This window comes from Homo sapiens, chromosome 1, assembly GCF_000001405.40.
Source record: "Homo sapiens chromosome 1, GRCh38.p14 Primary Assembly".
Lineage (NCBI taxonomy): Eukaryota > Metazoa > Chordata > Mammalia > Primates > Hominidae > Homo > Homo sapiens.
Genome location: NC_000001.11, coordinates 63,565,236 through 63,583,199, shown reverse-complemented (window position 1 = coordinate 63,583,199; position 17,964 = coordinate 63,565,236). Strand labels below are relative to the sequence as shown.

Genomic DNA, 17,964 nt, shown 5'->3' with positions numbered 1-17,964 from the left:
CTGCCTTAAATCCTGGTGCTTGCTTCCCTTACTTACTAATAAATGTCTTCTGTGGCATGTTTTTCCAGAATAGGGCACATTAGTCTGCATTAAAAACCTGTTCAGGCAGATATCATTCCTCCTCAATGATTTTCTTAATAGTATCTGAGAACTCATCTGATCCTTCTTTGCTGGCAGAAGCTGCTTCTCCTGTTATCTTGACACTTTTTAAGTCAAACCTCTTTCAAAAATTATCAAACCATCCTTTGCTGGCACTAAACTTTTGAGCTTAATATCCTTAAACTTCCTTTTGCATGGCTGGGTGCGGTGGCTCACGCCTGTAATCCCAGCACTTTGGGAGGCCGAGGTGGGTGGATTACCTGAGGTCAGAAGTTCGAGACCAGCCTGGCCAACATGGTGAAACCCCATCTTTACCAAGAATACAAAAATTAGCTGGGCATGGTGGCATACACCCGTAGTCCCAGCTACTCGAGAGGCTGAGGCAGAATTGCTTAAACCCAGAAGGCAGAGGTTGCAGTGAGCTGAGATGGCACCACTGCATTCCAGCCTGGGAGGCAGAGCGAGACTGCATCTCAAAAAAACCCAAAAAACTTCCTTTTGCTTTGTCATATAATGACTTCACTTTTTTAAAAATCCTGTTAATTTACAGGTATGACTTCCTTATAGCAATCCTGTACCCACATAAAAGCTGCATTTCCAATATGAGATGAAAAGGTATTTTGCAAAAAGGGCAAGGTTCTCATGCCTGCTGGCATAGCTGCAGCAACGGTGTTATGAATTTCCTTTTCTGTTTTTACAATGGTCCTTATGTTTTCTTAATTTATCTTGAAATGGCAGGCAACCACATCTGCAAACCTCAATCCACAATGCATATCAAGCAATTCAACTTTTTCTTGTAATGTCATGACTTTGCTATGCTTCTTAGGAGCACTTCCGGCATCACTAATGTCACTAGTGGCATTTTGAATGGGTCCCATAGTGTTAGACAAGGTTTACAATATTCCATTAAATACAATGAAAAATACATAAGAACTATGAGATCATTTCTTTACTTTGATATGCAATTTACTGGAGAGACAAGCTGCTCTCACAGTTTAGCATCACAGCATGCAGTGTTTTCAGTGGATACTCACAACACTTGAGTTTACTGCAATAGCAGCAGGAGGTAGCTATGAAATTATTACAATACTGCAATATGTACTACAGTTAATTTTATACAGTTATGATTTAATACTGCATATTTACGTTTGTTTACGTTTGTCTCGACTATGAATGGCACCATGTGTAGTCTGTGTTTATGTGCCTAAATTTTGATAAATTTTAACTTTTTATAATAGATTTTATGTATGTGTAGATTTTATGTAGTAAATGATAAAACAGGCCACTATCTACATATATTTTATGCATTCATGACATACCTAACTTTTTCTTGCTTTTTTGGTTATTTCTAGGCTATGCAGTGAGTTTTTTCAAAATGTCACAAATCTCCAAAAAATTTTCCAATTTATTTATTGAAAAAATCCACATATAAGTGGACCCATGAAGTTCAAACCCAATGTTGTTCAAGGGTCAACTGTATTAGCAAACTGACATCCAAAATATATAAAAAGAATAACATATCACAATTAAGTGGAATTTATCCTAGAAATGAAAGGCTGGTTCAAATTTGAAAATCAGTCAGGTTTCAGATCAGAAAATAAGGTACCATATTAACAGTCTAAAGAAGAAAACCCAACCATACAACCACATCAATTGAAGTAGAAAAAAATATTTGACAACATTGAGCATCCACCCTTTTTTTTTTTTTTTTTTTTTTTAAGAGACGGGATTCTTGAATGCTCAGGCTCAAGTGATCCTCCTGCATGAGCCTCCTGAGTAGCTAGGACCACAGCCAGAAGCCACTGCTCCTGGCTCATCATCCATTCTTAATAAAAACTCTCAGCAAACTAAAGAGAAGTAACTTCTATAACCTAATTAAGGGCATCTACAAAAACATCCACAGCTAACATAAAATAGTGGTAAAAGACTGAATGCTTTCCCCACTAAGATTGTGAGCAAGGAAAGGATATCCACTGTCATTGTTCTTATTTGATATCTTAATGGGAAGTCTTAGCCAATGCAATAAGGCAAGAAAAAAGACATAAAAGGCATATGGATAGGAAAGAAAGAAATGAAACTGTCCCCATTTGCAGATTACATGCTTTTCTAAGTAGAAAATCCCAAGGGATATATAAAACACAATAAAAAAAAACCTTCCTAGGACAAATAAATGAGTTTAACAAGGGTCTCAGGATATAAAGCCAACATATAAAAATCAATCATATTGTTACATATTAGCAATGCACAGCTGAAAACAAAAATACAAACAGCTCATAAAAATAAAATATTTAGGTATAAATCTAATAAAGGATATATAGGAGCTGTATGCTGAAAACTACAAAATGCTGATCAAAGAAATAAAACCTACATAAGTGGAGAGCAATACTATGTTCATGAATTGGAAGAGTCAACATAATAAACATGCCAGTTCCCCCCAAATGATCAATACAGTTAACACAATACCAGTTAAAATCCCAGCAGGATTTATTTTTTGTAGATATAAACAAGCCAGTTCTAAAATTTATATGAAAAGGGAAAGAAACTAAAATAGCTAAGATGATTCTGGAAAAGAACAGTACCATTGGGGAAATCATGTTACCTGAATATAAGACTTACAATGAAGCTACTGTAATCAGGACAATGTAGTATTAGTGAAGGGAAAGACACATCGATCAATGGAACAGAATAGAGTTCAGAAATAGACTCATGCAAAGATATGGTTCTATATGACCAGTGAATTTTTCAACAAAGGTACAAGAGCAATTTAATGGAGAAAGGATAATCTTTTCAACCGATGATATTGGAATAACTGACATCCATATGAAAAAAAATGGACCTCAACCTAAACCTCAGAACTCATACAAAAATTAACTCAAAATGCATCACACATATAAATGTATGAAGTAAAACTATACAACTTTTAGAAGAAAGCAGAAGAAAAATCTTTGTGACCTGGGGTTAGACAACGACTTCTAACTTGACACCAAATGCATAATCCATTAAATGAAAAACTGATTAATTGGACTTCATCAAAATGTAAAACTTTCACTCTCTATACGATCCAGTTAAGAGAACAAAAAGACTATCTACAGAAGAGAAGAAAATACTTTCAAATAACATATCCAATAAAAGGCATATCCAGAATTTATAAAGAATCAAATGGTAAGAAAATGAAACTCAAAACTCAACAGTAAGAAAACAAATAACCTAATTTCAAATGGGCAAAAGGCTTGAAGAAGCACACCATCAAAAAGTATACTATGTATGCAGATGACAAGCCTATGAAAAGTTGTTCAACATCATTAGCCATTAGGGAAATACAAACTAAAATCACAATGAGATACCACTGCACATCTATTATAATGGCTAAAATAAAAAACGCAGACAATACCGAGTACTGATAAGGTTGCAGAATAACTGGAATTCTCCTACATTGCTGCTGGAAGTGCAAAATGGTACAGCCAATCTGGAAAACACTTTGGCGGTTTCTTAAAAAGTCAAACATATATTTACCATATGATCCAGCAGTACTACCTGTGGGTATCTACTATAGAGGAATAAAAACTTATGTTCATGTAAAAATCTGTAGATGAACTTTATAGCAGTTCTATTAATAGTTACCAAAAACTGGAAACCACCCAGCAGATGAATGCATAAACTGTAATACAATCATATAATAAAATACTACTCAGCAATAAAGGGAACTATTGATACATACAATTTGGATGATTGTCAAAGGCATTATGCTGAATAAAAGGATTCAGTCTCAAAAGGTTACATACTGCATGATTCCACTTATACAACATTCTCAAAAACAAAACTATAGTGATGAGAATAGAATAGTGGTTTCCAGGGGATAGGAGTATGCACAGGGGTAAGGTCATGGGGATGTGACTATAAGAAATAACGTGAGGGAGTTTTTTAGTGATGGGACTGCTCTGTATCCTGATTGTGGTGGTGGTTATATGAATCTATACATGTGTTACATTAATAGAACTGTGAAAGCTTCCCCCCAACCCACCAAAAAAGGGTCAAATTTACTGTATGATTTTTTTTTTATCTGAAATAAAAACCCCACAGGAAAAAAGTACTCGTTTTAAAATAGAAGTTCAAGAAGTAGAACAGTTTCTTCTGGGCTGAGAAAAAAATTAAAGGTTTCATGAAGGATGAGGTATTTAAAAAATGTATGTTACAGGTACAGACTGTAATACTTGTTCACAATCTGTCTTCTCTGATAGACTATGTATAATGAGGGCAGGAGCAGCGTCTGGCTTGTTCACCTCTATATAAGCAATAATTAAAGCAGTACTTTGCACACATTAGGGACTCAATTTATATATGATTGATCTATTGCTTGTGAGGCCGGGCGCAGTGGCTCACGCCTGTAATCCCAGCACTTTGGGAGGCCGAGGCGGGCAGATCACGAGGTCAGGAAATCGAGACCGTCCTGGCTAACACGGTAAAACCCCATCTCTACTAAAAGTACAAAAAATTAGCCGGGCGTGGTGGTGGGCGCCTGTAGTCCCAGCTACTCGGGAGGCTGAGGCAGGAGAACAGTGTTAACCCGGGAGGCGGAGCTTGCAGTGAGCTGAGATTGCGCCACTGCACTCCAGCCTGGATGACAGAGCGAGACTGTCTCAAAAAAAAAAAAAAATGTATGTTAGAGGTACAGCCTGTAATACTTGTTCACAATCTATCTTCTCTGACAGACTATATATAATGAGGGCAGGAGCAATGTCTGGCTTGTTCACCTCTATATAAGCAATAATTAAAGCAGTACTTTGCACACATTAGGGACTCAATTTATATATGATTGATCTATTGCTTATGATATTAATAGGCAAAGATACAATAACATTCTAGGAAAAGTGAAAAACATTAGAAAATACCTTAAATTTTCATTTCCTCTCCTCTTTCTAAATCCCTCCTATCTCTTCAAGGTCACTTAAAGTTCAGTTACAGAATCAGGTTCCCCTGATTCTTCCAGCCCACATTCATTTTTCCAACTTGTCCAAACTTGCTCTAACACTGTCAAACTTAATCTAACATTTTAGTGTAGTACTACTTAGTATTTTAAAGACTATGCCTCATTTCCTTTAATAGTTATTAAAATGTGTCCTCTTTTTATATTATTTAAATTTTAAAATACATTATATTACATGAGTAAAAACAAATCAAAGCACTACTTAGCTTCAAACTAAACTTCATTCCTTCAGTCCTCCAACAGATTTTCATCTACTTTCATCTACATCCTCTAAATTGGTCAAGCCTTCCCCTCCTCTTCTGTTTCCATATTCACATCATTAGTTTAATGCTTAATGACTGGCATTTATTAAGATTTAATATTATTCCCTAACAGGTTAACATGTAACTCATTTCCTTAGCTTTCTTGTCCTGAGGACAGAGATGACACCTACTACTTATTTATTTTAACTAATTAATATGTAATAGATACATGCTAATTGGATGTCCCTGTGTACTATTCCCTAGCCTAGTCTACTCCTATTTTTACTTCTCTACTAAGAAAAAACTTTTTTTTCAAAAGCCAATTCTGGATACTTTTGTAATGGATATTTAAAAAGGCAGAGAGAAATTTACTTTTTAGTAATTCCGCATACTATATCAGAAATTGCCAGAAAGCTTACAATACTGGCATTCTGGAACGATTTCATTTTCATAACATGCTGACATTAGCCTGAATCAGATAACTGAACTTAAGCTGGCCTTGAATTTAACTTGCTTACTCTTGTATTCAATTGGAAAGGTAAGAATACAATTAAGAATATGTATTAAATGTTGAATATTTATCAACTGTGTCTAAAAGAAGTTGAAAAATATTTAATTTTTGAGAAATGGAACCATACTCCAACTCCTTTATCATATGTAAGTCTTTTTTGTTAAATATTCATATATATTTTTAGAAATGTATTGGGTGAAAAAAAAAAAGTACTCTTTTTTTTTTGAGTCTTACTCTGTCACCCAGGCTGGAGTCAGTGGCAGATCTCAGCTCACTGCAACCTCAGCCTCCTGGGTTCAAACGATTCTCCTGCCTTAGCCTCCCAAGTAGCTGGAACTACAGATGCACACCACCACACCTGGCTGATTTTTGTATTTTTAGTACAGATGGGGTTTCACCATATTGGCCAGGCTGGTTCGAACTCCTGATTTTGTGATCCGCCTGCCTCGGCCTCTCAAAATGCTGGGATTACAGGCATGAGACACAGCACCCGGCCAAGAGCACTTATTATTATTTATTTATTTATTTGAGACAGAGTCTCTCTCTGTCACCCAGGCTGGAGTGCAGTGGGGTGATCTCAGCTCACTGCAAACTCTGCCTCCCGGGTTCAAGTGATTCTCCTGCCTCAGCCTCCCGAGTAGCTGGGATTATTACAGATGCCCGCCACCACGCCCAGCTAATTTTTTTTTTTTTAATTTTATTTTTAGTAGAGACGGGGCTTTCACCAGGTTGGCCAGGCTGGTCTCGAACTCCTGACCTCAGGTGATCCACCCACCTCAGCCTCCCAAAGTGCTGGGATTACAGGCGTGAGCCACTGCACCTGGACAAGAGTACTTATTATTAAAGTACTTTGTTATTTTTTGTTTTTTTGTTGTTGTTGTTTTTGAGACAGTCTCACTCATGTCGCCCGGGCTGGAATGCAATGATGCGATCTCAGCTCACTGAAACCTCTGCCTCCAGGGTTCAAGCGATTCTCCTGCCTCAGTCTCCCAAGTAGCTGGGATTACAGGCGTCCGCCAGCACACCTAGCTAATTTTTATATTTTTAGTAGAGACAGAGTTTCACCATGTTGGCCAGGCTGGTCTCGAACTCCTGACCTCAGGTGATCTGCCAGCCTCGGCCTCCCAAGTGCTGAGATGACAGGCGTGAGCCACCGTGTCAGGCCTACCCCTCAGACTTTCAATAATGATTCCTAGAGTTCCTGGCTCACACATTACCTCACCACATGAATCTCATCTATATCCTCTGAATCAGGTCCACTATTTGCTTTATTTTTCCTCAAATCATTACAGTTCTTTTTTCCCCCAGAAATTAAGCTAGGCTGAGCATCAAAGATAGGCTTTATAAGACTACGTAAAGATAGCAGGGCTAACTTTGAATGCTCTTAAACTTGCAAACTCATGAAGACTCATTAGGAGAAGAAGACTTAGTATCCCCATTATAAATTAGAATATGTTCTCTAATAAGAATGGGTGTTGGCTGGGGGCAGTGTCTCATGCCTGTAATCTCAGCACTTTGAGAGGCCAAGGCACCAAATCGCTTGACCCCAGGAATTTTAGAGCAGCCTGGGCAACATGGCAAAACCCCACCTCTACAAAAAAAAAATATGAAAACGAGCTGGGTGTGGTAGCGTATGCCTGTAGTACCAGCTACTCGGAAGGCTGAGATGGAAGAATCACCTGAGCCCAGAAAAACAAGGCTGCAGTGAGCTGAGAGCACCACTGCAGTCCAGCCTGAGTGACAGAGCAAGACTCTGTCTCAAAAAAAATGGGTGTTATATGCCTGAATATGCATATAGCCATAGTGTCCAATACAGTTTGCCAAAAGCAGTCTTAGAAGTCATAAAGGACCTAACACAGTGCAGAGAAATATAATACTATCCATCTCTCTAATAAATAAAATAATATGCTCACCCTCTGGTGGCCAAAATGGGAAATACACATCCATTTTCTTGGATTATATCCAAAATATTAGTGTAGTATATAATATATTAAGTTTCTGCTTCATATTTAACCTAAACCAAAAAGATTTTAAAAGGCCACTGACTTTTTTAAAAAAAAGTCTACCCCAATATCTAATATAAAATCAATAAAATTACTAAATATAGTAATTTAAGAATATGTCATGACTCATATATATATAACAGTACTTGATACTTAAACTTTAAATTTGTTTTAAAATATTAGAACTATAAAACTTTAAAGTTGGAAGGAGTTACAGTGATCATGTAAGTCTATAATTTAAAACTGCATGTTAGATAATTAGTTTTTTTAATTTGCTAATGAAATAAAAACATCTGGGTAAACAGAACTGAATAGTAATGAGACTTAATTTTTATATTTCTAGTTTTAATTTATAAATATGCTAAAGAATTCAGAAATATTCATACATGTAAATTCATTTTAATTTTCCACTCATTTTATCCAACTATCCTTCCAAGAGAGAATATAGTATATACTTTCTGCCCCGCTCCACTACCTCTCAGCAAGCTGAACTCACTGCCTTAACTCGAGACCTCGCTCTCGCAAAAGGACTACGCGTCAATATTTATACTGACTGTAAATATGCCTTCCATATCTTGCACCACCATGCTGTTATATGGGCAGAAAGAAATTTCCTCACTATGCAAGGGTCCTCCATCATTAATGCCTCTTTAACAAAAACTCTTCTCAAAGCCGCTTTACTTCCAAAGGAAGCTGGAGTCATTCACTGCAAAGGCCATCAAAAGGCATCAGATCCCATCGCTCAAGACAATGCTTATGCTGATAAGGTAGCTAAAAAAGCAGCCATCAAAAGGCATCAGATCCCATTGCTCAGGACAATGCTTATGCTGATAAGATAGCTAAAAAAAGCAGCTAGTGTTCCAATTTCTATCCCTCATGGCAGTTTTCTTCCTTCTCATCTGGCTACTCCCACCTACTCCCTCACTGAAACTTCCACCTATCTCTTCCCACACAAGGCAAGTGGTTCTTGGACCAAAGAAAATACCTCCTTCCAGTCTCACAAGCCCATTCTATTCTGTCATCATTTCATAACCTCTTCCATGTAGGTTACAAGCCATTAAGCCTGCCTCATAGAACCTCTCATTTCCTTTCCATCATGGGACTCTACCCTCAAGGAAATCACTTCTCAGTGTTCCAGCTGCAATTCTACTACCTCTCAGGGATTGTTCAGGCCCCCTCCCTTCCCTACACATCAAGCTCGGGGATTTGCCCCAGCCCAGGACTGGCAAATTGACTTTACTCACATGCCTCCAGTCAGGAAACTAAAATACCTCTTGGTCGGGGTAGACACTTTCATTGGATGGGTAGAGGCCTTTCCCACAGGGTCTAAGAAGGCCACCGCGGTCATTTCTTCGCTTCTGTCAGACATAATTCCTTGGTTTGGCCTTCCCACCTCTATACAATCCGATAACTGACCGGCCTTTATTAGTCAAATCACCCAAGCAGTTTCTCAGGCTCTTGGTATTCAGCAAACTGATGGTCTTTTAAAAAACACCTCACCAAGCTCAGCCACCAACTTAAAAAGGACTGGACAATCCTTTTACCACTTTCCCTTCTCAGAATTCAGGCCTGTCCTGGGAATGCTACAGGGTACAGCCCATTTGAGCTCCTGTATGGATGCTCCTTTTTAGTAGGCCTCAGTCTCATTCCAGACACCAGACCAACTTGGACTGTGCCCCAAAAAACTTGTCATCCCTACTGTCTTCTGTCTAGTCATACTCCTATTCACCGTTCTCTACTCATAAATGCCCTACTCTTGTTTACACTGCCGGTTTACACAGTTTCTCCAAGCCATCACAGCTGATGTCTCCTGGTGCTATCCCCAAACGGCCACTCTTAACTCCCTCTTAAAGTAAACAAATAATCTTTGCTGGCTGGGCTATGCTGAACCTCCTTGGGCACTCTCTAATTGGATGTCCTGGGTCCTCCCAATTCTTAGTCCTTTAATACCTGTTTTTCTCCTTCTCTTATTCCGTTTAGTTTTTCAATTCATACAGAACTGTATCCAGGCCATCAGCAATAATTCTATAAGACAAATGTTTCTTCTAACAACCCCACAATATCACCCCTTACCATAAAATCTTCCTTCAGCTTAATCTCTCCCACTCTAGGTTCCCACGCCACCCCTAATCCCACTCGAAGCAGCCCTGAGAAATATCACCCGGCATTATCTCTCCATACCACCCCCAAAAATTTTCGCCGCCCCAACACTTCAACACTATTTTGTTTTATTTTTCTTATTAATATAAGAAGACAGGAATGTCAGGCCTCTGAGCCCAAGCTAAGCCATCATATCCCCCGTGACCTGCACGTACACATCGAGATGGCCGGTTCCTGCCTTAACTGATGACATTCCACCACAAAAGAAGTGAAAATGGCCTGTTCCTGCCTTAACTGATGACATTACCTTGTGAAATTCCTTCTCCTGGCTCAAAAGCTCCCCCACTGAGCACCTTGTGACTCCCGCCCCTGCCCGCCAGAGAACAAACCCCTTTGACTGTAATTTTCCTTTACCTACCCACGTCCTATAAAATGGCCCCACCCCTATCTCCCTTTGCTGACTCTCTTTTCGGACTCAGCCCACCTGCACCCAGGTGAAATAAACAGCCTTATTGCTGAGAAAAAAAAAAAGAAAAAGATTTCCTACTAAATAAGAACACCACACAATGAAAGCATTATTTATATTTTAATAATAAAGTACATACCATGGACATAAAATGAAAATGCATATAAATTGAATAGATTATTATTTAGGTACATCAGTTAAGTAGCATTTAGTTGTTTAATAAATAACAGACTAAATCTGAAATAATTCTTAGTTTGGTAAGTTCTAAGTATAATTATTTAAGAAATAAGAGAATATATACAATAATATATCCATTCTTGTCGTTCATTCAAAGGCATTACATGTTGACAAACCTGCACATAAAAATAGAAAGCTTTTACTCTCTTTTTATATATTGTTACTTTTGGCTAATTTTTAAACAGGACAACATTTCTAGGCCTTGTATAAGAATATCCCTGTACAGATAAAATTCTACAATATTTGTCCTTAGCAGAGACTAGCAATCTATGATCTGAGGTCTAACAGGATAATCCAGTCTAAATTCTACCCTAACATAGTAGCTGTCAGTTGGTGTGTGTGAATGTGGGTAAAGAAGAGTGGTGGAAAGAGGAGAAAATATCCTTTCCTTGCTAAACCTAGAGCGTTTTCTAAAATCTTAATTGGAGAAACAGAAAAGATAATCTCTTTATCCTGTTCTGGAATGTTTTAGGATTTTATGGACAGTATGGAGAAAGAAAGGGTAAGAATAGGAAGCTTTTTCCTTTCTCCCTTCACTTGCCCAGTAGGTAGCTCTATTGATCTGTCCCTGCCTTTGAACCCCTGGCTAAATCAGAAACCCAGAGTTCTGCTAACACCAGAACTACAGCTTTTTCTAGCTCTTGACTTACTTGCTTATTTAAAACTCAGAGGCATTGTCCCTCTCAGGATACTTTAGAAAATCTTAATAATGCAGATAAAAGCATTTTGGGTTATCAAAATTATTGTTACTATTAATACTTTACATTTCTATATGATGTAAAAAGTACTTTCATGTACATACATCATTTTATTTTTATCCTTACTTTAACTTTGTGAAGTACATAAAACTAGTGATATTATCTTTTTTTTTTTTTTTTTTTTTTTTTGAGACAGAGTCTCACTCTTGTCGCTCAGGCTGGAGTGCAATGGCGTGATCTCAGCTCACTGCAACCTCCACCTCCCAGGTTCAGATTCTCCTGCCTCAGCCTCCCGAGTAGCTGGAATTACAGGCGTCTGCCACCATGTCCGGCTAATTTTTGTATTTTTGTAGAGATGGGGTTTCACCATGTTGGCTAGGCTGGTCTTGAACTCCTGACCTCAGGTGATCCACCCACCTCGGCCTCCCAAAGTGCTGGGATTACAGGCGTGAGCCACCGTGCCCGGCCTAGTGATATTATCTTAATTTTACATTTAGAGAGACTGGAACATAGAAATAAATGAACTTCCCATAGTCACTCAACCAAACAGTGACAGAACTGGATTAGAACCAAAGTCTCCTGTCTCTGAGTATAGAATGATACTGATACAAATATCATACTTAAAATAATTTTCCACTCCATTTTATATTTACATTTTACTCATAGCATTAATAGCAAATTTTTTTCAAAGACATAAAACAAAAGGCTTTAATTAGAAAATAATACATTACCATTGTAGATTTGGGTCCCACTTCTACTGCAAATATGTTGAGTCCTCTGTTGTTTATGCAGTTTTTACTTAGCTCATTGCTGATGTGAATAATCACTTTCTCATCTGACTATTAAAAAAAGATTTCATAAGCTGCTATTCCTTTCTTTAATAATTACAGACAAATATAAGCCTCAGAATAAACCCTGAAATTCTGTTTTAACATCATATAGTGCACTACAAATTCATACAAATTGGCTACTTCTTTCAACTTTGTTACTTTTTCTCATTGATTTTCTTTCCAATCTGTCACCATTTATATAAACTTTTTCTTTTAAATGTGACTTAAACTTACTTACCTTTTAATCTTCATTCCCAGGGTATTATGGACACTAGGGTCACATTATTTCATCCTTGACTTATGATAGCAATAGTGTCTATTTCTTTTGTTGTTATCTCTAGTTTTTTCAACTTCCATTCATTTTAATACTACCTTCCAACTAATATGTCTAAAACATCTTTTTACTCCTTCATTGACAATATATAAACAAATATATTTATTATCAACTTTGTATCAGGCATTGTTTTAGGGTCTAGGTGCACTGAGATAAAAGATAGAATTACTGACTCCTAGCTCACACTCTAGGGGAGACAGACAAATAAAATGACAATTACAAAACACTTTGCTGAGTCTTGTAACAGAGGTATTTAGAAGGATCTATAGAAACACAGAAGATGAACATTAGCTCGGACTGGGGTTTCAAGAAAGACTTTATGGAAGAAGTGACAACTGAGATAAAAGACAATGGCCTCTAGGATGGATAGGGAGCAAGGGAAAGCAGAATGACACTGATAAATGGAGAAAATGCAGGAATAAAAATATTCCCCTACTAAGAATCTGCGATCATACCCTAATGACTATAAAGGGGGTAGTATAATGTTAGACTACCTGAATTTATTTGTCAACTCTTCTACTACTTAGCTGTGTAATCATTTGCAAGTTATTTAACTGCTCTGTGCTTCAGTTTCCTGTTTGTAAAATGAGAATAGCACTTATGTCATAGGGTTGTTGTGAGAAGTAAATGCTCTAATATATGTAAATGCCTGGCAAACAATAAGGTCTAAAATGTTCACATTATTATCACATTTTGGTGAAGAGAGTTGAATTTTCCTTGAGGAAAAAGGAGGCAGAGAATTGAGAACTAATAGGTGGTAGCAGAACAGAGGGGTTGGGGTAACGTAGTAACTCCCTTCACCTTTTTAACCCTAATAAAACATAGAGGGCAGAAAGGGAACCATGATGCATCTTAGGAATCACCCTCTGAGGCATGATTGGTCCATTTGAAAACTGCAATCTACTAGGTGGGGACCCAAGCTTAGTTAATCAAGTCTAAACTCCTCTATCTCGTTTTCAAGATAACATATATAATTTGGATCCATTCTGTATGTTATTTACCTCCTAATCCTCCTCCAAATAAAGCTGTCTATTGCTGCAAAGCAGATATTCTCACTCTTTCCTTTATACTTCATATATACCCTTCGCCTTGTTTCGCCTTACACTGTTTCCCCTGCTTCTAAAGGCTGTCTGTCTGCATATCTAAATCCTAGTCATCCTTCAGTGCTCAAATCCCATATCACAGTTCCCTTGCCCCTCGTAACAAATCCTTCCCCAACCTCTATGGTCCAAATTAACAACAACTACAAGAGAAACAGAATAAAACCCCTATTGCACACACAAACAGTACTACATTATGTAACGTTTAATTATTCTCTGATGTCTTTCAAGAGTATTAATTTTGTCTTTCCAATTATAGCCCATAAACTCCTTGAACGCAGAGATCAAGTTTTACACTTTCTGGTTGCTCCTATTGTGACTAAAATAGTTACATAATATATTCTCAGGTTGACTAAAAACGCTGCCACATCTTAAGTATTTTAAGAAATTTATGGCAGGCATAAAAATATGTCTCACGTAGGACCTAAAAGAAATAAGTCAACAGTACTGAGCACCTAGCCATCTTATATAAAGTTTTATGAAAATTTATAATTTCTAGAGAACTGGATATTTCTGACTAAGAATTTATGCTCGTATTCTCTTGACCTGTAATATCAATAGTATTAATAGCAGGGAAGAGAGCCAAAGGTAGAAATAATCAGCTTGATGAAAGCAGGTCTTGGGACAGTAGAATACATTTAGTTATATTAAATAATAATAATTTATAGGATCTCTGCAACGTTAGTGTAAAACGCTGGGTTGAAATTTTTCCTTTGCTTATAATATTTCTTTAAAACATGATATCTATTATTAAAATAGCTATGTATACATAAAAACTTTTAGAAACAAACTAAATAAAATACTTTGTACCCAGATTGTGCTCTATATTCACTAATATCCAAATGTTTAATTTTCCTAATATTTTAAGAGAAAAAATTGGAAACCTTTAAAAATCATATAAAAATTACCACTCCCAGTTTGAGTTAGAAACCTGAGGAGAAAAAATAATTATGCATTATAAACATTATTAATGTGATGGGATACTTAATTACCACATACGAATAGAGTAAGGAATAAGATGAAATATATTAGTAAGCTTTGTAGCAAAATGAGGAAAACCACCTCATAATTGATACCTTGTTTTCAATAACTGACGTTATCCAGGTGTCACAACTGTAAGTATGCACGATTATATTTTCATAGCCATCCATTACTTTGGCATCACCGTTGCTAAGAACAGATTTACAAATGGCCTTCTCAAGTTGTCCACTACATGCCTCCATATGGACAGCTTTAATTTTTGGCTTGCATTTTTCTGCATAGATATCAATGACAAATGGACATGCCTGATAGGAAAAAAAAATCTTGTTTCAGCCTTTTGATAGAATTTTAAATAAATTATTAATATGTTACCATATAAGAAGATATGCTATACCTTCTAGCTTGTCCTTCTAATAAACTTTTAGAGGAAAATTTTAGTACTATGAATTGAGTAATAAGCAAGCATGAAATCCTGACTTTTTGGTAGCATATTAACTGATAATGTTCATAGAAAATAAAAGAAAATAATAACCTCTAGCAAATCAGTAATATACCACCTTCTTTAAACCATAATACCATCTCTTCATTTGGTTCAATGCTAACAAATACCATGTTATTTAATTTTCTTTTCTAAAGTGAGGGTTACAGAAAGAATTCATCAAAGGTTTCTACAGAAATTATTACATTTACAATTGAAGCTTACTGCATGGATACAGAGCACTGACTAAACGTTTAGTCTAAAAACACCTTTAAAATATGAGACTTAAAAATATTTTCTGCATTCCGAATGAAATTTTTCTAATATCTACCTTAGTCTTTTTACCACAGCCTACAATGTGGTAAAAAGCCAATGTGGTAAAGAGCCTTTGCCTCTCCATCCAACCTGGTCTCCTGTGTCTCTATGCAACAGCTATCCTGATCTTTCAGATCCTAGAGCAAATGAAGCCCTTCATACGTAGTGTTCTCTCCACTGGGAAGATTATCCTTATGTATTTTCACATAGGTACCTTGTCTTCCTGCTTCAGGTTAAAGCTTAAGTGCCACCTCTGCAGAGGGATCTGCTCTGGCCCCCCAATCTCCCTCACTCCCCCACTGTTCTCTGTTCTCTACTTCAGCCTTTGAGTTGTTTCAAAACACCTTTGAAATAATTTTTTTTTTTTGGAGATGGAGTTTTGCTCTTGTCGCCCAGGCTGGAGTGCAGTTGGGTGATCTCAGTTCACTGCAACTTCTGCTTCCCGGGTTCAAGTGATTCTCCTGCCTCAGCCTCCCAAGTAGCTGCGATTACAGGTGACCACCACCACACCCAGCTAAGTTTTGTATTTTTAGTAGAGACAAGGTTTCACCATGTTGACCACACTGGTCTTGAACTCCTGAACTCAGGTGATCTACCTGCCTTGGCCTCCCAAAGTGCTGGGATTACAGGCGTGAGCCACTGCACCTGGCCGATATAATTTTATTTTAATTAATTAATCATTCTCCTTCATGAAATATAAATTTCATAAGGGCAGGAACTTTGACTATTTTATTCATCTTTGTATCCTCAGTGCCTCTTTCCTGCAGTTATCACATAGTAGGTATTCAATAAGTATTTGTTGAATAACTGAATAAATTCACAAATTGGTGGTCATCTTTTAAGAAAATAAAAGAAAGAAGTCTGAAGTTAATTTTAGTAGACTATAAACAGAAATTTGTGTTTTAAAAAATATTTTAATAATATAAAATAAATAAATATAAAATAAAATAATTATAAAATATTTGTATAATAAAAATATTTTAATCACTTCAACCTTTGGCAATAATAAATTTGCCTTTTTAAGAGAAATAGTAGAATGAAAAATCATTGGACTAAAAAGTAGAAGACCTGGGTTTATTTTTCATACACATCACCTTTGTAAAAATTTTTAAAGATTATTTATAATAATTATGAGTATGGCATTTTTAAAGGTTTATTTGTTCAGTACTGGTAAATTCTGGTAATATTCTGCCATTTTTTAAGTCATGATTATCAGTTTTATTCAACCAAAGAGGATCAATATTTGAATATTCACTGAAAGCAAAACATCTTAAAAGGTCCATGTTAAAACATATTCTCTAATTTTTTTTCTTTTTTTTTACACTTTTAAGTTCAGGGGTACATGTGCAGATTTGTTACACAGGTAAACGTGTGTCATAGGAGTTTGTTGTAAGATTATTTCATCACCCAGGTAGTAAGCCCAGTACCCATTCGTTATTTTTCCTGATCCTCTCCCTCCTCGTACTCTTCACCCTCTGATAGGCTCTAGTGTGTGTTGTTCCCCTTTATGTGTCCATGTGTTCTCATCATTTAGCTCCCGCTTATAAATGAGAACATGTGGCATTTGGTTTTCAGTTCCTGCATTAGTTTGCTAAGGATAATGGCTTCCAGCTCCATCCATGTCCCTGCAAAGGACATGACCTCATTCTTTTTTATGGCTGTATAGTATCCCATGGTGTATATTTACCACTTTTTCTTTATCCTGTTTTCCACTGATGGGCATTTAGGTTAATTCCATGTCTTTGCTACTGTGAATAGTGCTGCAATGAACATACATGTGTATGTGTCTTTATAAAACAATTTACATTCCTTTAGGTGTATATCCAGTAATAGGATTGCTGGATTGAATGGTATTTGTCTTTAGGTCTTTGAGGAATCACCATACTGTCTTCCACAATGGTTGAACTCATGTACACTCCCACCAACAGTGTATAAGCATTCCTTTTTCTCCACAATCTCAACAGCATCTTTTATTTTTTGACTTTTTAATAATAGCCATTTGGACAGGTGTGAAATGTGGTTTTGATTTGCATTTCTCTAATGATCAGTGATGTCGAACTTTTTTTCATATGATTGTTGGCTGCAGGTATATCTTCTTTTAAAGCGTCTGTTCATTTGCCCATTTTTAATGGAATTTTTTTCTTGTAAATTTAAGTTACTTATAGATATTGGATATTAGACCTTTGTCAGATGCATAGTTTGCAACAATTTTCTCCCATTCTGTAGGTTGTCTGTTTACTTTGTTGATAGTTTCTTTTGCTGCACAGAAGCTCTTTAATTAGATCCCATTTATCAATTTTTGCTTTTGTTGCAATTGCTTGTGGCATCTTCACCATGAAATCTTTCCCCATGCCTATATCTTGAATGGTATTGCCTAGGTTGTCTCTCAGAGTTTTTACACTTTTGGGTTTTACATTTCAGTCTTTATCTTAAAATTTTTTTGTTGTTGTTGTTTTTTTTTTTGAGACGGAGTCTCGCACTCTCGCCCAGGCTGGAGTGCAGTGATGCCATCTTGGCTCACTGCAAGCTCTGTCTCCCGGGTTCACACCATTCTCCTGCCTCAGCCTCCCGAGTAGCTGGGACTAC

At 36.8% G+C, this 17,964-nt stretch overlaps 1 protein-coding gene across 4 annotated transcripts in view, besides 3 other annotated features; it reads right to left on the bottom strand.

Annotated features, from left to right (window-relative positions):
• Positions 1 to 17,964, bottom strand: part of EFCAB7 (EF-hand calcium binding domain 7) — a 61,846-nt gene that overhangs the window by 2,171 nt on the left and 41,711 nt on the right. For 3 of the 4 annotated variants that reach the window (NM_032437.4, XM_006710977.2, XM_006710976.4), the window contains exons 12-14: positions 14,681 to 14,890; positions 12,072 to 12,179; positions 10,507 to 10,758 (exon numbers count right to left, since the gene is read on the bottom strand). In NM_032437.4, coding sequence (NP_115813.2) covers positions 10,684 to 10,758; positions 12,072 to 12,179; positions 14,681 to 14,890 — 393 coding nt within the window. In that variant the 3' untranslated portion in view covers positions 10,507 to 10,683. Of the gene's footprint in view, positions 1 to 10,506; positions 10,759 to 12,071; positions 12,180 to 14,680; positions 14,891 to 17,964 lie in introns of those variants that run through there. The other variant, XM_011542301.3, reaches the window with a different exon arrangement.
• Positions 8,153 to 8,745: an enhancer, noted in NCBI's record as "OCT4-NANOG-H3K27ac-H3K4me1 hESC enhancer chr1:64040126-64040718 (GRCh37/hg19 assembly coordinates)". NCBI's record gives its function as "activates a minimal SCP1, AML or CMV promoter by ChIP-STARR-seq in naive and primed H9 embryonic stem cells {active_cell/tissue: H9 hESC(naive and primed)}" and the evidence as "EXISTENCE:reporter gene assay evidence [ECO:0000049][PMID:30033119]".
• Positions 8,746 to 9,339: an enhancer, noted in NCBI's record as "OCT4-NANOG-H3K27ac-H3K4me1 hESC enhancer chr1:64039532-64040125 (GRCh37/hg19 assembly coordinates)". NCBI's record gives its function as "activates a minimal SCP1, AML or CMV promoter by ChIP-STARR-seq in naive H9 embryonic stem cells {active_cell/tissue: H9 hESC(naive)}" and the evidence as "EXISTENCE:reporter gene assay evidence [ECO:0000049][PMID:30033119]".
• Positions 9,933 to 10,527: an enhancer, noted in NCBI's record as "OCT4-NANOG-H3K27ac hESC enhancer chr1:64038344-64038938 (GRCh37/hg19 assembly coordinates)". NCBI's record gives its function as "activates a minimal SCP1, AML or CMV promoter by ChIP-STARR-seq in primed H9 embryonic stem cells {active_cell/tissue: H9 hESC(primed)}" and the evidence as "EXISTENCE:reporter gene assay evidence [ECO:0000049][PMID:30033119]".